Source organism: Homo sapiens, chromosome 5 (assembly GCF_000001405.40).
Source record: "Homo sapiens chromosome 5, GRCh38.p14 Primary Assembly".
NCBI lineage: Eukaryota > Metazoa > Chordata > Mammalia > Primates > Hominidae > Homo > Homo sapiens.
This window is the reverse complement of record NC_000005.10, coordinates 115,418,223-115,441,565: the sequence shown is the minus strand read 5'-3', so window position 1 is coordinate 115,441,565 and position 23,343 is coordinate 115,418,223. Positions and strand designations below refer to the sequence as shown.

The 23,343-nt window shown below is 40.5% G+C and overlaps 1 annotated feature.

Annotated features, from left to right (window-relative positions):
* Window positions 5,307-5,507: a silencer, noted in NCBI's record as "peak5426 fragment used in MPRA reporter construct". NCBI's record gives its function as "represses an SCP1 promoter by STARR-seq MPRAs in K562 erythroleukemia cells {active_cell/tissue: K562}" and the evidence as "EXISTENCE:reporter gene assay evidence [ECO:0000049][PMID:32103011]".

Genomic DNA, 23,343 nt, shown 5'->3' with positions numbered 1-23,343 from the left:
GGCACTTGTCCCCCAACAAAAGGGGATGAAAACAAGTAAAAGACTGTATTTTGACTGGAGGGACTGAGGAATGATGCTGTAGAGTACCAGCAGAGCAACAATATACCTGTGAAGCACAGAATTCCCAGATTGCACCATAAAGAGGGGAGCACGGCTCCCTGCCCCTGCTACACTGTCTTCCCTACCAGATGCAGCCTGGTGTTAGGGGGTGGTGGGGAGCAGATTCTTATGGGGAAAAAGTGAGCTGGAGATCCTCTGTGGTCCCCATTGCTACCACAGACGCCAGTGGTCCTTGCTATAGAAGAGTCCCCTAATCCTTACAGGCCCAAATCCCATTTGGACAGTTGCCAGGAGTTCATGTAAATGCATTGCCTCAGAATAGGAGCCCACATTGTGCATCCTGTAACCTCTGTAACCTAAGCTGCTGTGTCATGGCACCATCTTGAAAGCAGACCCACTGCTAGAGACCACTGTTAGACTGCATTTTGCCCTGGCAGCCAGTAGCCACTGATTCTCTCTGCTCCACCATCATTCCATCAAGTTCACAAAGGTGTATGAATCATCATGACCTCAGCTGCCCAGAGGCTAGACAGAATGAATGGGACCCTGGCATCCAAACCTGAAAGGCACCCCTGGGGAACAGGCAGACCTGCAGTGTGGGGAAGTTGCTGCACAGCCAGCTGGCCTGCCTCACCCAGAGTGTCAGCAACCCTGCTCCCTGAAAAGACAGCTATACTGTTGGCTGGTGTACCCCAACAACCAGCCCAACACCCCTGCCCCCAGCAAAACCATGCTGCTGTCATCATAAACTCCCATAGCCTAAGCCATTGAGGCAATCACAGCTATCACTTACAAACATTATAGCTGAAGAAACTGCACAGAGACTACACCACCAAGTCCACCCAGAACCAAAGCCAATGTATCATTACCAACCAGTACTGTAGGACCCATCCATAAGAAAAAGTCTCTCCCTGTGAAAACTACTCCATAAAATTAGAAAAAGTGACAATTCTGCTAGATATGCAAATATCAATATAGGAAAACAAGAAATATTAAAAAGCAAGAAAACATGACACCTCCAAAGGAGCAATCTCCAACAGTAGACCCCAAATAAAAGGATGTTTATAAAATGCCTGAAATGAATTCAAAATAATGATCTTAAGGAAACTCAGCAAGATACAAGGGAATACAGACAAGCAATTCAGTGAAATCGGGAAAGCAATTCATGATCTGAGTAAGAAATTCCACAAAAAGAAATTACAAAAAGAACCAAACAGAAATCTTGAATCTGAAGAATTCAATAAATAAATTATACAACTGAGAGTTTCAACAACAGACTAGGTCAAGCAGAAGAAATAATTTTTGAACTTGAAGACAGACCTTTTGAAATAACCCAGTCAAAAAGAAGAAAATAAGAATAAAAAAGAATGAAGAAAGGTTATTGGACTTACGAGGCACCATTAAACAAATTTTTGCATTATAGTAGAGTCAGAGGGAGAAGGGTGGAGAAGGGCACAGAAAATCTAACAAAATAAGAGTTGAAAAAAATCCCAAATCTGAGGAGAGATATGGACATCCAGATTCAGGACGCTTAAAGTCCTCAATTAGATTCAACTCAAAAAGACCCTCTCTGAGGCAGATTATAATCAAACAGCCAAAAAACAAAGAGAGAAAGCTGTAAAAGTGTCAAGTCACATATAAGAGGATTCATGTTAGACTATCAGAAGATTTCTCAGCAGAAACATTGTGGGCTAGGAGAGAATGGGATGATGTATTCCAAGTCCTGAAAGAAAAAAACCTACCAGACGAGATTTTTATTTCTAGCAAATTTGTTTTTCAGAAATTAAGGAGAAATACAAGCCTTCCCAGACAAACAAAAACCAAGGGAATTTATCACCACTAGACTGGATTTACAAGACATGCTTAAGAAGGTGTTTCAACTGGAAACAAAAGGATAATAACTGCTATCATGAAAACACATGAAAGTATAAAACTCACCAGTAGAGGTAAATTTATAATAAAACTCAGAATACCCCATTGCTGTAATGGTGCTATGTACAATTTTCAATCCTTTATTATGAAGATTTAAAATAAAAAATGTAAAAAACAGTTATAATTAGTGGCTAAGGAACAAATAATAGGTAAAGATCTTAAAGTAAGGCAAAAAATATACAAACGGGGGAGGAGGGAAGAAAAAGTTTCAAGTATTTTTGTGTGACCAAAGTTAAGTTATTAGATGTTGCTGTAAAAGTACTTTAAAAATGTGGTTAACATTTATACTCGGGAGACTTTTATTAAGGCAGACTAATCTGTTTGGAATGAAACTCTACCAAGTTAGTTGCTATTTACTGTCCCCAGCAACTGAGAGGTCCAGACAAAAGAGCACCAGGAGGGAATCTACTTGCATGGGTCCCTTTCAGGCAGCCTTGCCATCAGGGGTTTGATTGTAGGCACAGCTTCAATGACAAAACAATCATGTGTAAGTTTTATTTGATTGATTGATTGATTTTTGAGACAGAGTCTCGCTTCATAGTCCAGGCTGGAGTGCAGTGGTGGAATCTTGGCTCACTGCAACCTCTGCCTCCCAGGTTCCCTCCAGGCTAATTTTTGTATTTTTAGTAGAGATGGGGTTTCACCATGATGGCCAGGCTAGTCTCCTGACCTCAAGTGATCCACCTGCCTCGGCCTCAAAGTGCTGGGATTACAGGAGTGAGCCACCATGCCTGGCCAGTTGTAAAGTTTTTAGTACTTACAGACCCTGGAGAATATACAGCATATGTGGAGGCCACACACACATGGAGGTCAGGGAGAAAAGACAAAGAGACAGAGAGAGTGAAGGAACCAGTGGGCCAATGCCTTTATTGGGTCCAGGGCATTATTCAAAAAGGTTTCCTGTGGGGAGCTTTAACTGGTGGGTTTACAGAAAACAGGCACTAGTTCTACAGTGTGACTGGGCGGTGGTCACTTTAAGTTCATGGACAAATATTTAATTGGTCTGTTTACAGGAAGCAGTGGGAAAGCAGGAAACCCAGCCTGCTAGGCAGGAGAGATACCCCTGAATTCTATCTCTGACCGCTGGCTAGAAATGTTTGGGTGGGATATAGTATTGGAAACTACATCAGCGGTGACTGAGGCCTGCTTCTGGTATGAGAAAGTTAAACTTATATTTAAAAATAGATGCCAAGGCAACATAAAGTTATTAGCACCCACTACAGAATAATAATGTGCATGGGCCTTATCCAATCAGTTGAAGGCCTCAAAAGCAGATACTGAAGTTTCTTTTTTTTTTTCCCCCTATATTGGCTGGTTTTAGCTGTCTTCGTATTTATTTATTTATTTATTTAATTTTACTTTATTATTATTATACTTTAAGTTTTAGGGTACATGTGCACAATTTGCAGGTTAGTTACACATGTATACATGTGCCATGCTGGTGTACTGCACCCATTAAGTCGTCATTTAGCATTAGGTATATCTCCTAATGCTATCCCTCCCCCCTCCCCCCACCCCACAACAGTCCCAGAGTGTGATGTTCCCCTTCCTGTGTCCATGTGTTCTCATTGTTCAATTCCCACCTGTGAGTGAGAACATGTGGTGTTTGGTTTTTTGTCCTTGTGATAGTTTACTGAGAATGATGATTTCCAATTTCATCCATGTCCCTACAAAGGACATGAACTCATCATTTTTTATGGCTGCATAGTATTCCATGGTGTATATGTGCCACATTTTCTTAATCCAGTCTATCATTGTTGGACATTTGGGTTGGTTCCAAGTCTTTGCTATTGTGAATAATGCCACAATAAGCATACGTGTGCATGTGTCTTTATAGCAGCATGATTTATATTCCTTTGGGTATATACCCAGTAATGGGGTGGCTGGGTCAAATGGTATTTCTAGTTCTAGATCCCTGAGGAATCGCCACACTGACTTCCACAATGGTTGAACTAGTTTACAGTCCCACCAACAGTGTAAAAGTGTTCCTGTTTCTCCACATCCTCTCCAGCACCTGTTTTTTCCTGACTTTTTAATGATTGCCATTCTAACTGGCGTGAGATAGTATCTCATTGTGGTTTTGATTTGCATTTCTCTGATGGCCAGTGATGGTGAGCATTTTTTCACATGTTTTTTGGCTGCATAAATGTCTTCTTTTGAGAAGTGTCTGTTCATGTCCAAGGAATCCTGTCTAAAGACTAACATAGAAACTCTGCCTTAGTTCCTAACCTGCAGACTCAGGACTGCAAGCTCAACTCTTACCTGAAATGCCAGCCTGCCCTACATATTTTGAACTTGCCGGTCTCTACAGTTGCAAAAGCTTATTTCTTGACATCATTCTCTCTCCTCGCCATTCCCCATGTGTGTGTATATATGCATATATGTATGTGTACATATACGTGTGTACATATAGAATATATATATATACATCTATATTTTAATCTATCCTATTGGTTCTGTTGCTCTAGAAAACCCTAACTAATACAAGACCCTTAAAACTCCCAGAAGGTTTCAGGAAACCTGAGAGCAGAGGAGGCTTTCCTAAATATAATACCCCAAAGAAGAAATGGTGACATAAGAGAGTGAAGTAGTGGCAGAGAGAAAGGTGAACTAACTCCTTCAAAAGGGGTGACTTCTACTTAACCGCATGTAAGTGTTGCCATGGGAGAATGGGAGTCTGGTGTTATTCGTGTGATTAATTAAGAGAAGCCAAAGTCCAAATGACTGTGGGAAATCACTATGGGGAGGGTTTTTGCAGAACCATAAATTTTGAGCATACCCATAGAATTGCAATCTACAATAATGTGTATGGTTTACTGGATTTGAAGCCATATAAATCAGGCACAAGACCCCTTTTACATTCAGGGACCTCCCTACACAAAGAGGGAAATGTCATGAGTTTGAGCCTCTCTGAAGAAAAATGAGGCTAACATGGTTTATCAAGAGGTTTATCAATAAGGTTCACATTATTTTGTGAGGGAAGACAAAGTCTCAGTTCTTTTGTAAACAGTTTGAGGTTTCAAAGACTCTTTGGCTCTCTAATTTATTTGAAACATCTATTGCTTCATGAATTGGCCTCAAGCACTCCTCAGTAAGTTATCAAGAGGCATTTATTTTTATTTAATCACCACAATGCTTGCTTGTTTTAAGGCTTAGGAAAAAAGTGAAGAGTGAAGAGGGCTCATCTTTTCATTGACTTCATTTATGTTATGCTTTTGAATCCTGTCGGATATATTTTTAGAAGCCTGTAAGTGAATAAAGCTTCATAAAGACAAGGTAACTTTCTGAAACTTCAACCCAGGTTATTTCTGTCTTGCTACTTTCAAAGGGCATCAGAGCTCACACAGCAGAGACAAGAAGAAACAAACAAAGGTGAAAAGCAAGCCCTTGTACGTGGGAGACAGGCTTGCATGGAACATGTGATTATGTGGCAGGAGGTATGGATGTGACTCATGAAATTGTATAGCAAATTTTTTTTTCCCCTAGGAAAAAAGGTTCAATGAAACAGACCAACCTCTCATTGAAAGTGACTTAAGTGCTGGTTAGTATTATCAAGCTATGGAAAGCTCAACTAATTATGATTTTTTTCTTTTAAAAAGCAGCTCATTGCTAAGGATTATACTTCCCCCTGTTTTTCAATGTATTCTGATGTTAAAGTGAATTTGATGATTCATGTAATTGAACAAAAATATGTGTTATTACATAAGAGGAGGGAAAAGGTTAAGCTATCAATTGGGTGCGTCTCATTTCCTAGGTCATTATGCAAAATATAGTGTACCTTGAAGTTTTCTATTCTCTTAATAGTGAAAAATATACTTTGGCTGAAATGGTTTAAGGTAAACCATTTTTGCTAAGAATCCAGCACGAACCACAATGATGGCCTAATTCTGGAAGCTCTCCCTGGAATATGCTGAGTGCCAGATGGCACTGGGAGCATCAATAAAAGAAAATAATTTCTAATGCAGCAAGTGAAATGCTGATGGCAGATGCTGCTAGCTGCAGGCCCACATTGGCTGCAGACAGGATATTGGGGAGTATTTAGCTGGGGATCTTTTCTGATTCTGTCAGTTTGCTCTTCTAGAAGATTACGGAGTGAAACACAATAGTGATTCTCACCTTGGCTGCACGTTGGAATCACCTGGAAAAATTTAAAACATGTATGGATGCCTGGATCCCACCACCAGAAATTCTTATGTAATTTGTACAGGTTATGGCTAGAAATCAGCGTTATTTTTAAAGCTCTCAAGCTTTCTCTAACATGAAGCCAAGGTTGAGAGCTACTACTCTGCTGGAGAGCTTACAGAATGCCAGAACTTGAAGAGAATGAATTCCTTGCTTTATAGATGAGGTCACTGATACTCAGAGGGACAAAGTGACTTACTCAAAATCACACATCTTATTAACCCATTTATAGCAGGGTGGTCACTAGAACCCATCCCAACCCAGTGTTTTTTCTTTTTCTTTTTTTGAGACAGAGTCTCATTCTGTTGCTCAGGCTGGAGAGCAGTGGTGCAATCACAGCCTACTGCAGCCTCAACCTCCCAGGCCCAAGTGATCCTCCTACTTCAGTCTCCTGAGTAGCTGGGACCACAGGCATGCACCACCACACCCAGCTAATCTTTTATTTTGGTAGAGGTGCGATCTCCCTATGTTGCCTATGCTGGTTTTGAACTCCTAGACTCAAACCATCTTCCTGCTTCGTCTCCCAAAATATGTTTTTTCTATAATACCCTACCACACAGGCTTTGATTGATGGGTGGCAGGGAAATTAGAGACTTGAAAGTGCTTGGGAGAGTTGTCAAAATATTATGTAAGTAGCTGCTACTACCTATATATAGGACCAGCCACAGTTCACCACTCAAAAATGCTCTCACTCAAAAATGCTCACCACTCAAAAATGGATTGCTGGGCATCCGTATGCAAATGGAGTCAGTTATCACATCTGATCTGCCTTTCGGCTTTATGTTTGAAGTTAAAATCCTTTCCAAGATAGGCAGGCATCTACAAAGACTCGTTAGTAACCTGTGTATGTAAGAATTACGCTTGGTGAGATTCTGGGTTCTTGCTGCAAAGTGCCATTGTGTGGGTTTTGCTCAAAGGAAAACCCACTAGTTGCTGAGTGTTCTACACCAGTCAATCAACTGGTCAATAAGTGGAGATGGGTACCTACTAGAGAGAAGGATCCATGATAGCTGCTTTGAGCATGAAAATGCATTACATGGTTGCTCCTTCAATCAATGTATAATATAAATGAGGGGCAAGACATCAGAGTGAACATCTTTCCTTGCTTGCTCAGCATCTCTTGGGAAACCATACCTCTCTCATTTCTGGTTATATGTATATGGGCAGCCTGACCTCCAGATTGAGGACTGAGCATGACTGTCAGGCTAAGAGTCTGAGATGAAGGGATGAGCAAGTAGTGCAATCTTTGCCCAGTTGGGAAAGTCCTGGGTCTCACTGGAACTGTGAAGAAGAGGCTTCAGTCTGTGGAATGACTCATAAACTCTAGCACCCATAATGGAGGAAGGGAGAGAGAGAAATGTTGCTCTGATGGCACTGTTGGAGCCCCTGGATCCAGCCTTGCCTAAAGTCCCTGGACTTCCCCAAAGACATTGGGCTTCCTAGATACATGATCCATAAACTTCTACCCTCTTTTGTTCTTTGATATAATTTGAGTTTGATTTCTCTCCTTGTCAATTAAAAGAGCCCTAAGGTTGGGTGTTTTATCTTAATCCATTTAAATTACTTGGAAGTTCTGCTACCGTTCATCTATGTCAAACAAAGCTAAGATTTTTTTCAAACAAACCCAATGTGAGTGCTGATTAATTAGCTGTGCTACCAGACCTTTCTGCTTGCTATCTTAATGTCAATTTGTTTTCAGGAGCTATTAGAGAAGCTGCTGGGGATACCTGTTTGGTGATGTGGAGATTAATTTGTTTTTCACTGGTAACACCCTCATTTGATCACAGTTACAATTCCTGACAAGACATCCCACTTTCCTGTTAAATCAATTCACCACCTGCCTTTGCTTCTAATCTTTGACTCTTAGCATATATATGAGGTATAGTTAATTATATGACTTGGGACTTCAGTTAGCTTTTCAGTTCATAATTCTACATTGGAAACTTATTCATAATCTCAGATGTGTCACTGGCAAAGTTATTGAATAGGCAAACTCAGCACATGCAGAAGGTAGTAGAAAAGAAATATTTTTGAAATATATTTGATATTTCAAAAAAGTATCAAAATACTCATCACAAGAAATATCAGAACTTTGTTGTCTTTCTTATACTTATTTTGTGATTCAGAATTGTGTTGATTTTCAATTATGTATCAGTGAGGAATGGGTGATGTCCTGTAACTTAGCCTCTAAAGATTTTGATCTGTTTCTAAATAACAAGTAGCATAAAAGCAAGTACTGAAGGAGAAAAAGGCATACTAGTATAGGAAATGAGGGTCCTAAGAAAAAGGCAATAGGGAAGGGCCCTGGGCTCTTAAATCATTGGGATATGAAATCCTTCTTAGTAGAGAATGTCCAGAAGTGTGGTAAGGGTTCACATTATTTTGTGAGGGAAGACAAAGTCTCAGTTCTTTTGTAAACAGTTTGAGGTTTCAAAGACTCTTTGGCTCTCTGATTTATTTGAAATATCTATTGCTTCATGAATTGGCCTTAAGCACTCCTCAGTAAGTTATTTATGTGGTACTCAACTGCTCCTGCAGGTTTATATCAAACCACAGCTGTATAAACAAAGACTATTAACCTATTGGTTGGATTTAACAGACACTTCAATCTGTTTAAATCCACTGACATTTCAAATTAGTGTGCCTCCAGATTCTTCACAGAACAGCCACTGAAGGTGACAGGGCTGTTTCTAAATAGCTCTGAAGACAAACAATAAGTGTGTTCTAAAGAATGACCACCAAAGAAATGGGAACTACCATTCTATTTTTGCGTAAAATTATGGACAGAATTTTCAAAGGACCTGGAAGGGAATAAGGATGGCTCAGAAAGGAAGGTTTCAGACAGTCTAAGTTAGTGATGTAAGCTCTTATATTTTCCACATAGGGCACCTGATTAGTAGTAGTAAATAATTTATTGGCCAGATGTGAAACAATATTTTTCTCCTCTACATTCTTTCTTGATAAGCTTTTAGGTAACTGTTTTTGTTTGGGTCTGATCCTCCCTCAAAACAGACCTGAAACAAGGCCAAGTTTGGGTAGTTATTCAGGAGTGGGCCTCAGGGTGCATCACTGACTAAGTGGGAACAGCGAGACAGGAAAGGAGAAAATGTCAATGGTATGTGAATTCCACCCAAATGGGCACCTGGGGATTGGTCTTTCCAGGAACCTTAGAGTAACTGAGTAGAATGGCTTCCAAACCTTGCCAAAGAGGTTCAAGAAAATGGGGTACTTATCTACCAACTCTCCACTCATTGGTTGAAGATTGCTTCTGGGGCTTTGAATCTTGGAGAAAACCCCAAGGCAGAGAAGAAGAAAGTCTTGGTGCTTTAGATGAGAAACTGTCAGCTGGCAAGAAAAAAGTCTACCATTTCTCCAAGTGATTAGATCCAGAGAAATAAGAGTGGGGCATCAGTAGTCAGCCACACAGGCCATTTTTATATAGCTGAAAACCTTAGGTTTGTCATGAGAAATGACATTTATTTTCTCCAGCAGGAAGAGGGTTTGACTCTTTCCTGAAAAAATTACAGTGGAATGATTTGGGACAGGTTTCTCAGTAGCACACTCCAGTAATATTAACATGACATATGAACAATATAGTAGCAGAAGCATGAGAAAATGCTAAGTGAAATCCTAATGTCAAGTGAAAAAAATCAGGTTATAAAACTGTACAATTTCAGCTATGTGAGAAAAATATTTTATAAAGAAAAATTAGGCTAGAAAGAATATACCAAGATGTTAATGTTGTTTATCTCTGCGTGGTGAGATAAACAACCAGAGATAGCGTTGTAATTTTATATTTGGATAAATATCAATTTTATATTTGGCTAAATATAAAATGGATAGCTTTATAATTTTATAGACTTATTTCCCAAATGTTCTACTTTGAACATGTTTACCTTTTGTAAAAGTGAACATGCCTTTTTGCTTTCCCTGCATGTACAAGTTAAATGGGATGCTTGCTGAGTAGACAGGTGTAGACCTGCCACAGCAGAGCAGCGTCTCTAGAAATAATTAGACACTCTTGAGCTTGTTGGTTTGAACACAGAGGCCAGCCTTACTCAGCTCTGTCTTTGCTGCCCAGCTCCCCAGGGCAAGCTGGCAATTCATGGGTGCTCACTTCAAGGTTAGCTCATGAACTGCTTACACATGAACTTGTGAGGCCAAGAGGGCATGTTACAGTACAAGACTTCTGCAAGGACTGCAGGGAGGCAATGCCTGTTACCTGCTTGGTTCAGAGGAGTCCACCAGGGAGGCAGTACCTGGCAGTGGGTAGTCTATGTGTTCCTTTTGGGTCAAGCTGAGAAGCACATCCTAGTTCAGTTTATCGTTTTCAGCAGCCAGCCAGGCCAGCAGTGGCCACGGGAGAGTGCATTTTCAGGCCCATCTGGGAATAAGCACAGTGCTAGGAATGATGGAGGAATACAAATCCAAGTATCCTTGAGGAGATCATATTCCAGAAAGAAAGTAATATAACCTGAAAACGATTGACCATACAGAGAGGATGTGATTAAATATGAATATAATATACAAAGAAAATATGTCTGGAGTTTGGGAAGGAGCTGGGGAAGGTTGCTTCAAGAGAGAGTAACTGTGGACTGGAGTGGTTGGAAAAAGGTTTTCTAGAGAAGGCAGTGCTTTGAGTAACAGGTCAACTATACAGTGATGAAAATCCACCTAACGCATTAGCATTTACTGTATTGGGTCAGGTACAGCTTTAGTATCTAGAATTTGGATCATGGTGCTGCCTCAGATTCCCTGTGTGTCATCATTTGGGGTATGTTTCCTGTCCTATAAAATGCAGTCCCAACAGCTACCTGCCCTGCAGGTGTACTGTGATGAGTAACTGATGGTAAACATCCTGGGTAAACTTGATGGTGCTATTACTGAAGGCTTACAAATGTCAGATGATTAAATGTAGAGACAGGCACCAGTGGGTTTCTGAGATACAAAACAATGAGAGTGATAGAAAACTCAAAGTATGCTTGAAATCGTGGCCAGTGTCAGCAGGTTAATGCAGGAGGAATTTCTCTTCTGGGGTGTTAGTTACAAGCTGAATATAGAGAGGTAGAATCAACTGATAACTATTGTTTCAATTTATCTGGTATGCTCAGGCCTAAGCTGGGTATTATTAGGGGAATCTAAAACATTATTAGCAAGAGAGTTGTTTGGGCGAGTTGGTGGCACACAAACCTGAACAGGAAGCTATCAATCCTCAGGAGTATAGACACCCTGCTAGATTAGTATCACAGAGTTTATATAGCCCTCAGGAGGAACCCTAAGAGAGGCTCATTTTCCCTAAAAGATTTAATTCATCACTGAATCTAAACATCACATCTTTGAGCACAAGTCCCTTCTATGCACTTGTTTGTTCTGTTAATGCAAAATGGATTCATCTGAATCAGGAAACTGCGCCAAAAACAAACAGAACAGAAACAACAGAGAACTGGCCCCAATTTGTAGAAAGAGTGCACTTTTCTTTTTTGTGCTGGGGCCTTTGCACAGTATGGTTGCACTACCCCTGCATACCACACTGGGTAAATACCTACTGTGCCAGCTTTCCTTCCCTTTGGGACTGGGGCAATCCTGTCTAAGGAAATGAGAAGTCAGAGTTTACTTGATCAATTCTGGACATGAGAGGGTGTGTATGGCTGTTTATGCACTGAACCATACCATTCTACATTAGGCTGAAAAACTGCCTGAAAGAGGCCTTATAATAAACTTGGAGTAGAAAAACAACAAGCAAACAATAAAAGTAAACCACAAGAACACTGTAATAACATTTCCATAAGGTGATATTTGCAGCATTTTTGCAAATATTGACTCACTAAGTATGAAGCTGAAAAACAAGCCTGGTTTATATTTGGGCCAACCATATATAGCAAGGGGAGTACTCCCTTAGAGAGTTTTTCACTGGCCCCAGGATCAAGCCTAGAAATGAGCACTTCCTTTTGTGTGAACTGTAGTCTTCCATTGCAATATCCCCCCACACCATCTAAATTCATCAGAGGCTTTCTCTTCTGCCTTAAAACAGCCTTTTCTCCCAGTGGTTGGAGAACTGATGAGGCAAGATTAGCTACAAACGATGACGTGTGGCCTTTTAAAAATAATCATTCTATCTTATGGAACTATCATACTGTTTGCTTTCCCCTCTCTTTTTTGTCTGCACTAAAAGAACTTAATGTAAAGTCTCCTCTCTTTTGGGGAGAGTTTGCTGATCAGGGCCTTCTGCCACATGGAAAGACAAACCAATATTTGATTTGTTAATCATCATACTATGGGATAATACACCAAAAGATTATCGTAAAAGAATAAGAAAGAGGATAAGGTTGACAGAAGAGGCGAGTGACTTGGAGGATACTGTTAGAGAAGAGGAGATTATTCTCCCATAGCAGAAGAGGTTTATGAATGTCAAGCAGAGAATGTGCCTTTCATTCTAAGAGCTCAAGGAAGCAGCTAATGCTCAAAGGAGATGGTTGCATGCTGTGCTGGAAGAGACGAGGACACATGCTCTGGAGTTCTCAGTGCCAGCAGCAATTGCTGAGTCTCAAGCATGGGCAGAGCAGCCATCCTGGGAGTAGTGTGTGTGTGTGCATGTGCATGTGTGTGTGTGTACCACCTAGCAGAGTGGGGCTTCCAAATGGAAATCAGGTTGATTTATAAAAAATACATATGGTCCTTCTTGCACATCAAAGTAAAAGAAGCACATTTAAGCATTTCATCCATGACTCACATCAGAGTGGCCTACCTGTGTAACTCTGCTACAGAATCTCTACCTGGCACACTCAGGGGCCAAACCATATTTTGCCCACTGAAATTTATTTAATCTGGGAGGCCTTCCTTAAGAAAAAGAAAACATATAGAAATATAAAATTAGCTAGAGAGCCTTGAAAGGAGCTGGTGCAATTCAGGAAACCTGAAACTTAGGCCTCGTTAGTTATATGATACACCCTCCTCTGCTGTCGTTATTACATTTTGTCCTGAGTAAGCTGGGGAAAAAAAGAGCCCTAAAGGGCTCTTCCCCCACCATTTGTAGACATTATTCCTTTTCATGAGGGTGTTTCTCATTTTGTCTTCAGCTTTCCACACTCTCCAAACCAAGGGAGGCTCTGCAAATAGTTTATTTACACAAAAATGTGTTGCTCTGCTGTCTCCTGGAAGTCCCTTAACTAGGTTACTCAGCCAGGTGTTTACCTTTAATTTTAAAATCTTTTATTGCAGAATGAAATTCTTCCCTACTTTGGGAATCTCTCTCCCTCCTCAGTCTCACCCTTCCTCTTCTATATGCAATCACTTTTAAAAGAAATTTTTGGGCTCAGCAAGCATTTTAGAAGATTGGGAGGAGGGAAGAAGTTGTATTAGTTCATTTTCACACTGCTATAAAAAACTACCGAGACTGGGTAAGGTTTAATTGACTCACAGTTCTGCATGGCTGGGGAGGTCTCAGGAAACTTACAGTCATGGCGGGAGGTGAAGGAGAAGCAAGCACTTTCTTCACAAGGCAGCAGGAGAGAGAGAGCAAGGGAGAAAGTGCCACACTTTTAAACCATTAGATTCCATGAGAACTCACTCACTGTCACGAGAACAGCATGGGGGAAACTGCCCACACAGTCAAATCACCTTCCATCAGGTCTGTCCCTGACACGTGGGGATTACATTTTGACATGAGATTTGGGTGGGGACACAGAACCAAACCATATTAGAAGGGGATCGCTTATTAAACCTCACTGGAATAATTTACCTGGTCTTGAAGGGAAACTAATTTTGCTCTTTTGAGAATGAGCAGCAAGGATAATACACAGCTCTGAGTCTCTCTCCACCTGAGGCGTAATGGGTTTTTCAAAATCTACTGACTTCCTGCAGCTAAAAAGTCTCAGATCCACATCAACATTTTCTGAATTGCCACAATGGAAAGATAAAGAAGTATTTTGGGGGGCTTTTGCAGAAGAAGGCGCTAAGAGTCCAATTTCACCAAGGTGGAGCCTCGTTTCACCAAAGACATGCAAAAGACTGAGCCATAGGTTCTGAAGAGAATTCCAAAGAGTTCTGAAGCATTCTGAGCTTGATGTTTCTACTAATTCAGACATTAGGTCGCATTTGAAAAAGAAAATCTCATTATTTTAGAGTTAGTCCTCACATATATTTCAAGAAAAATGTCACAGGATGTTTAAAGGTGTAGTGCTCTATGTATAAAATGTGGTTTTCTTTAGTTGTTATTTTCTCATCTTTGCATTGCGCATAATGAATAAAGAAACAGCAGGATCTTATGATAGAAAAAGAAGAGCCAACATTTGTTTTCCACATTTGGGTTTACAACCTTGCCTTTTTCTTGTTTGTTTGTTTGTTTGTTTTTCTTCGTCTTAAATAACTGAAAATCCCAAGTCTTTAGAAGAGGATTATACATCCAAGAAAGAGTCTTGGCCTAAGGTGAAAGAGCTTTTCACAGGGAGTTAGGAGAGTTGAGGTCTATTTACCATCTTCAGCCACTGGCCAACCAGTCCAAGGACTTCATGTCCCTCAATCTCTCTGCCTTGATTCATTCATCCAATTCGAAGCTGGACTAGATAATCTTTTAGGTCCTTCCAAGCTAGTGTTTGTTTAATAATTTTCCTCTGAGAATTCCAGAAGTCTTTCCATGACTCACCCAGCTAAGAGTCCATTTAGGGAAAGCAGAGGGGCCACAGCTCTGTTCTCATCACCAAAGAACTAGTCAGGCTCAGAAAGTTATTTCAGCCAAAGGTAGTGTGGGGACAGTGTGTTCAGACACAGAGCAGGGAAAGCTGATAGAATTAATGAACCTGATAATACAGGCACTGGGATGGTGTTGCTCTCCAGCTTGGGGCTTGACAGATAAAACTGGCTTTTGCTCAGAATCCTGCTGTAATGAAAAGGTATGCTAGAGGGAGACCTAAACACAAGGGCAGGTGGCTCTGCCACAAACATCATCTGACCTTTGGCCAGTCACTCACCCTCTCTGGGACACAATTTCTGTGTGTGTGTGTGTGTGTGTGTGTGTATGTATGTGTGTGTGTGTATATATATATATATATATATATATATATATATATATATATATGAAAAGAAGGTAATAAAGTCAGCCCTGCGTTGCTTAGTGGTTTTGATAAGGTCAAAACATATATGGAAGCAAAAGAGTTTGAAAACCATAAAATGATTCATAAACAGAAGGATTGCAATTAGCTTTGGAAGTTGTTTCTGCTCCTGTGCAGGGTGGGTCTAGGGAGGAAGCAGGGGCTGGGGAATTTCAGCACAGGAGTGGAGAGGGGAGAGTCTAGGCAGAGCTATGAAGGGAGGTGAGGTTGGGATCCATGAGAGAACCAGTGGATGCAGGGGAAGAGCTGCTGCCTAACAACCAAGTTCAGGCTAGGGTGTTAGAAGTTCAGAGCCTAATATGTCCACATCCCCACTCCTCACTGACGCTCCCGCTTCTAAAGACCCTCTGTTTGTTGTTGAGAGCTAGGCCTTACTGCTGATAATTCTGTTGCCATGTTTCTTCCCAACAGAAAATAGCTACCTATGGACTACATAGCTGATGTCTCACCTTAGAATTCTCTTGCCTCATGAGACAGAAGACGAGCCCTGGCAGTCTGCAGTAGAAGCAGATGCCTTGATCACTTATAGGACAGGACTTAATAGACAAGTGAGGTAGGGACAATGCTGAAATAAAAACCAGGCTAGGTAATAGGAATAATCATCATCATAGTTACTGTTTATGGAGCACTCTGTGCCAGATGCTGAGCTAAATGCTTTATATACATTTCTTATTTAACCTTCACATCTGCACTATGAATTTGTTATATTATGAATTTACTCCAGTTTAGAGAGGCCGTGGATCTTACTTGAACTGCTTATTGTATTCTCTAGATAAAATTGACTTGGAACTTTGTTTGGAATCTAAATTCTATACTCAATCATTATGCTGTTCTGCTTCTCTTGGGTCCACAGATTCTTATCAAGTCACCCCAAAGTTATCCGGACTTTAGCAGAATCCCAAAGTAGAAATCAAATCAGTCCTGTGCAGTGAAGAGACCAGGATGCAACAGTGTTGCCCAGAAGTGCCTGACTTGCTCCTTTTATTTGACTAGAATAAATAAAATAAAAATAAAAACAGCTGTAGCTCCTTTAGTGAGGTGAAGTGTTATTTTCCTTTTGGAGCCATTCTGTACTTGTTTAGGAAAAGTAAGACGTCCTAGAAGGCACAGGAAATGATTTGTTGTTGGCTCTTTTAGCTAGCAGTGTGCTGATGCTGGCTGGCACTGCCACATACCTTCCCACAAGAGCCAATTGTGTGCATCTCTTCCCAAATCCAATTCAATGAGTTTTGGTTGGTAACTTGAACTTTGCCAAGATGGGAGTATTTACACCATGGAAAATGGCAAACACTACAAATCAGAGCTTTGTTTTCTTGCAGAGCCAGTTGTTAAACATTTACCTACATACCGCTGATTCCAGCCCTGTTTGTCATTTTGTTCCATAAATTTTATATGCCAAAGAAGAGTTGTTTCTGAAATATGGTATTCAAAAGGATGTCTTAATTCTACATACCTAGATATTATACATGAATTAAGGAGCCATTTTAATATGCACAGCTGAGGACGACTGCTAAAAGTTGCCTAATCAAACATGCTCTAGACCACTGGATGCGAGTAACTGGACCCTTCCTTATTGCCAGGCCTTGTAGAGCACCTTGCCGCCAGAGCTGCCATCTGTGCCTGCAAGAGAAAGGAACTGTGATTAGTTTCCTTTGGTGAGGTCTGGCAGCTCAAATTGTGACAGGGAGACTGCATGTGTGTGCAAATGACCTTTTCCTTCTTGACATTTTAACATATCAGAGATAATAACATGAATAAATTAATCAAATGATGGAGATGAATGGATTCATTTGAGGAAAATATTTTGTCAGATCATCTACCTTTTCAACTACATCTACATTAACCAGAAATGGCATTTTTTATGTTATCCATAGGATCACCTCCCCTTATTTCCCATGGAAATGGAAGCTAGGAGTAGAAAGAAGAAGCAGAACTACAGATTACACCCATATCTGCGTGTTGCTGTTACTTCCAGAGTCTTCCTCTTAAGCCTTTGTCTGAAATGGAGTGCGGGCTGTGTGTTCAGCTGTTCTAGCCCCTCCTTCTCCGTCCTTGTGGGTGCTCATGGGGAGGAGGACGTGAGCACTATCCAGCATTCACTGGGGAGGTAGAAATGTCTGTTAGGCACTTATCTCAACATTCTTTAACTAGAGCTATGAGAAGGTAGCACTGGATAATCTCTCTTACTAAGGTCCTCTCTAGCGCAAAGATTCTGTGGCTAAATAATTGACATTTGTGTGGCCCAGGGTGCATGCAACCTTTTAAGCGCTGCTCCTGACAGTCTGAGAGAGAACTGGGTTTCAGTTCCAATTCCCCAGCCATATAAAGACCTTTATTCTTTCAAAGGCTACTTATTTTCCTAATCTGGACTTAGCAGGTGGAAGGATACATTTCCTCAGATTTCCAAGTAAAATAGTAGCCAGCACTGTAGTAAAAATAACAAACAGGATATTAAATGACCCACCCTGTGTGGCCAATAGCTGGCATGTCCCAGTGCTGACAGGGTGGGAAGGCTCTGGGACCACTGTGAGGGCCCTGCCTGGGGCAGTCTGGCGTCTGTTGGGCGCTGCTCCTGGTGTGTAGAGTCTTATATAATACCCGGGCACAGTAGCCTGCCCCTCCCTGCTGCGGTATTTCACAGGACACAGGATTAGCAAGCTAGAGCCAAGCTCTATTTCTGGAAGGCAGAAAGTTCAGCTGAAGAGTAGCCACTGGGAAGACACTCATTTACGCCACTGAGGGAAGCAGAGATAGAGACTCCTAGGGAGAAAATTATTTTGGCAGGCTATTTTGCACAGATAATTTAAGAACATTCGGGATCAGGGTAGGGGAAGAAAATAGAATAAACAAACTGGAAAAGTAACTATTTCCCCTGTTGTCACCCTTCTTTGGCTGCTGTACAGATTCAAACCTAGGATTTTAAAAGTATAATTTATCCAATACCTGATTAAACAAGACTTGATGATTAAGTCTTTGCCACCAACCTAAACTTACATTTGAATACACACTATACCTTAGTAAGTACAGTAAATTCTGATGACTCATCACCCTGGGGAATCTCTATTAATCCAAATCCCAGATCTCCAAGCCAGGCTGGACATTGTTTTCAAATTCATGTGAGAGAAGGGGCACCGCTATTGTGTATATACTGATCTGTATTATTGCTTCCCTAGGCCATTAATTCCTTCAGGACAGAACACAGTAGGAGGTATGGTGATAATTCAATATAGCTAATTAAGGAAAAATGATCTGAACACGTATGTCTTTGGTGGTGGCGATGGTTGTGTGTGTATATGTTTTGGCAGAATGGGTAAGTGAAGTCTGTTAGAAATGACAGTTCTGAAAAGGGGTAGGTCCAAACCTGGGAAGGGGAGAGACAAGCTGGGATCTCGGAACAGGAGGTAAAAACCAGCAAGCAAAAGGCATGTTGAAAGCAGAGACACTCCGATATGTGAGTAGAGTCAAACCCAGAAGACAGGAACCAGATCAGGAAAGAGCTGTCATACAACAGGAGGGATACAGAATGTGAACCAGGAAGCTATACTGTGAAAACACCCTGGATATTTCCTGAAGCCCCAACATTAGCAAAGAGAATGCATGCACCAGGGCCCAGATCAATCGACCCCGTTTGTGCAACAGGTAGGGGTTTCTATCACCCAAATATTTTAATGTAGTATTCGATATCTGATGTGTATTCAGGTGAGCATAGGTTGTTTGCTGAAGTCACATTTGGAAACTTCCTTCAGAGGCAAGTTTTTGAACAACACAAGAAAATAAATATCATGAGTTCTTTGTCAATGGCTTTATTAATTTTACTCTTTCTATTTAAGCAGAGGGGTGAAAGGCCAGATTTGTGCCAGATAGAGGTTGGAGTGTGCCTGGAATGCCTGTTAGGAGGCCATTATAGTGGTCTAGAAGAGATGATGGTGACCCAGACAAGGAGTTGAGGGGAGGAGTTTGGAGATGCATTAAAGGGAGCAGAGTTGAGTGCCAGTTAGACAATTGATTGCAAAATTCAAATGCCTACAGGCTTCTGTCTGTGTTTTAAATTTTCCTTAATAATGTTTTTAATTGTAAGAAAACAAGAGATAGTTCTAGATCCCTGAGGAATCGCCACACTGACTTCCACAATGGTTGAACTAGTTTACAGTCCCACCAACAGTGTAAAAGTGTTCCTATTTCTCCACATCCTCTCCAGCACCTGTTGTTTCCTGACTTTTTAATGATTGCCATTCTAACTGGTGTGAGATGATATCTCATAGTGGTTTTGATTTGCATTTCTCTGATGGCCAGTGATGATGAGCATTTTTTCATGTGTTTTTTGGCTGTATAAATGTCTTCTTTTGAGAAGTGTCTGTTCATGTCCTTCGCCCACTTTTTGATGGGGTTGTTTGTTTTTTTCTTGTAAATTTGTTTGAGTTCATTGTAGATTCTGGATATTAGCCCTTTGTCAGATGAGTAGGTTGCGAAAATTTTCTCCCATGTTGTAGGTTGCCTGTTCACTCTGATGGTAGTTGCGGCATTATTCACAATAGCAAAGACTTGGAACCAACCCAAATGTCCAACAATGATAGACTGGATTAAGAAAATGTGGCACATATACACCATGGAATACTATGCAGCCATAAAAAATGATGAGTTCATGTCCTTTGTAGGGACATGGATGAAATTGGAAACCATCATTCTCAGTAAACTATCGCAAGAACAAAAAACCAAACACCACATATTCTCACTCATAGGTGGGAATTGAACAATGAGATCACATGGACACAGGAAGGGGAATATCACACTCTGGGGACTGTGGTGGGGTCGGGGGAGTGGGGAGGGATAGCATTGGGAGATATACCTAATGCTAGATGACACGTTAGTGGGTGCAGCGCACCAGCATGGCACATGTATACATATGTAACTAACCTGCACAATGTGCACATGTACCCTAAAACTTAAAGTATAATAATAATAATAATTAAAAAAGAAAAAAAAAAAAAAAAAGAAAAAAAAAAAAAAGCAACATTACAAAGGTAGTTATGCACATGTCTGCTTTAAGAAGCTGAAGTGAAAAAAGGATTTGCATGTAATGAATCTTTAAATTATTTCCTTTATGTCTTAAGAAGTCACCTCAACAGCTTGCCCAGTGTTCTTGTAATGCAGGAGATGGACTTATGATGCATAAAAGAGAGGGGACAATCTTCTCTATGGTTATGATTCTGTTGGTTCGTGGTTAATGAGGGGCCCTCTCTAAGTTCATGGTAGGAGCCAGGCATTAGTGATTCTTTATAGCTGTGAAGGGTGAGTGGCCTTTCTCTATCTCATCTTTTCTAAGAGTTTCAGTTCTGAACGCATGAACGTCTGTACTGAAACTATATTAGTGTAAAGGGAAGGAAAGTGATCATGTACAATTCAGTTAAAGATATCTACTTTATAAACAGATTAAAATATATCTATATGTAAAAAAAAAAAAAAAAAAAGAAAACAAGAGATAGAAGAGAAACCAAAAGTTAAAGGAGACTTAAATATAGCTACCACTTGCAACACAGGAATATCATTTGGATCCTTGATTCAAGCAAATTGTTAAAAAGTTTGAGACTTGGAAAATTGATCAGTGACTTTTTGCATTAAGAAATTATTATTACTTTACATGTGATAAGAGTATTGTGGGTTTTTTTGAGTCCTTTTAGAGGTATGTGCTGAGATACTTACAAATGAAATTATATGACTGGAGTTTGCTTTAAAAATATTGGGGAGTAGGAAGGGGCTAGTGCAAACAATATTGGCTTTGAGTTGATATTTGTTAAGGCTTCATGATGAGTTCTTGAGCTCCTTATACATGGAGCCGGGGCTTTATTTGTGTTGACAACTGCTAGTGCCATGTGCCAGAAACTTCTTTCAGAGCTACATGGTCTGTTCTGCTGAAGTAGAGTAACTTTCCTATTGCACTAGGATGAAGACATCCAAATGTGCACATAATAGATGAAACAGCTACAAGAAGGTGGGAGTTGTAGAAGAGCTTTTTTTGTTTATTTTAAATGTATATATTCAGCTCTTTCTGTTAAAAAATGGAAAAAAAAGAAGCATTTTGGAATTAACCAAGATGAGTAATGATGTTGTCAGAGAGGAAAATTGCCTCCCTTCTCTTTTTCTTTCTTAGTAGCTGAACTTTGTTTTGCAAGCTTCATTGTTACCCAAAATAAAGACTACATCTCCCAGCCTCCCTTATGAGGTGTGGCCATGTAGTGTGAGCAGAAATGTTAGCTGGGGCTTCCTGGAAGGCTCCTTAGAGGGAACTGACTCATCTGAGTGGTATGTCCTTCTTTTCTTCTCCCTTCACTTTTTCCTTATGCCTGGAATACAAACATGAGGTATAGAGTTCCAGTAAGCATGCTGGACCATGAGGTGGTCTTGAGGATGAAACCCACATACCTCATGTGGCCAAGCAGAAAGATAGGAGGAGCCTAGTGCTCCTTCTGAGGACTCTGGTGACTTGGAACTGCCTACCTCTGGGCTTATTTTATCAAACAAGAATAAACCTTTATGTGGTTAAGCCACAGTTACTTTAGGTTTTTAATTATATGCAGATGGACTTAATGCTATTGGATACACATAACTGATTATTTATTGTGAATAAAACACCATCTATTTGGTGTTATCTATCAAAAGTTAAAGTGTATAGAGTTATTGACTCAATAATCCCAGAGTCAGGACTTAATTTTGTAGTTATACATGCAAGAAAGTATTATTTGTAAAAGCAAACCCTGTAAACAATGCTTCTTTTTTTTTTCAACCTAAGCATAAATTAATAGCATGAAAAGTTTGCACTCATTAAATTTTCTTTAATATTACTATCCTGTATTTAAGGTGCAGTCTAATTTCTAGTCTGTACTAATTTAAATGGTATAGTAAAGGTATTAGTGGCTCCCCTTCAGCCTCCCCTTCCCTGTCCACCTCTCCCTTTCCTCTCCATCTCTCTCACTCCCATTCCTTTCCCCTTCCCCGCCTCATAAATGTATAATTTTACTGAATATTCAAGGATCTAATCTTCCCAGGATCCATGCAGAAATTCAGGGGAGATGAGAATACAGGAAAGATCTCTTCAGGGATGGCTGATCCAGCTAGGGATTCTTTGTGCCAGCTCTAGGGTTGATATTGATAGTCTCCCTGAACATAGAGTCCAGGAACACTCAATGGCCTCCGAGTGGTTTTAGCCAGGTTGTTTGTTTCTTGCAGGTGAACGAGGACACACGTGCTCTGACAGGATTTGGCATATGTCCAGGAGTTTATTTACTCATACTCCATATGAAGGCAAAGGTTTATTTTGATTCTTTCCTGGAGCATGAGAGCTCGGCTTAAGGGAGTGGGATGGAAACACAGTGGGAAGATAGCAGCAGGGTAGCCTGAGCCATAAGGCAGATGGCAGGAGAGGTGACATTTGTTCCGAAGGCTCTCAAGGCCTTGTGAAGCTCAAAGGAGAAACTTACTTGGTGCTTTCATTTTAGGACAGTTATTTCTATGGGAAGTAACCTTAGTTGCTGGCTGTTTGCTTCAGTGATAAAATCTGAATCTTGGCAACCCCATGGTCCTACAGAAAGGATTATTGTAGGATAATCAAGAAAGCTCATAGCTAAGAAGTGGCAAGTTCCAGGGTTGATTCAGGGGTGGATTCCCACATAGATTAATGTGAGTTGATGAAGTCTAAGAGATGAAGGGAGGTATATATGGATCTATGGATTTGTTGCTAGACAAATGGGATCTATTAATTTCTCACTAGACCAGCTATATTAGTCTTGACAATTTTGGTTATGAAATACATGCCCAACTCAAACTGGCTCAAAGAAAAATCAGAATTTATTGATCCTTGTAACTGGAAAGTTCAGTGGGTGGTTTCAGGCACAATTTCATCCAGGTCTTTAGACAGTGAGTGCATGAAGGACACAATCATTGTCTCTTTCCCGCTCACTCCTGCTTTCCTCTGTGTTAGTTTCATTCACAGGCAGGTATTCCCTACAAGTGGTAAAGATGATCACCAAGAGTTCCATCTATAAGCTTAGCAACCCCAGAGTAAGGC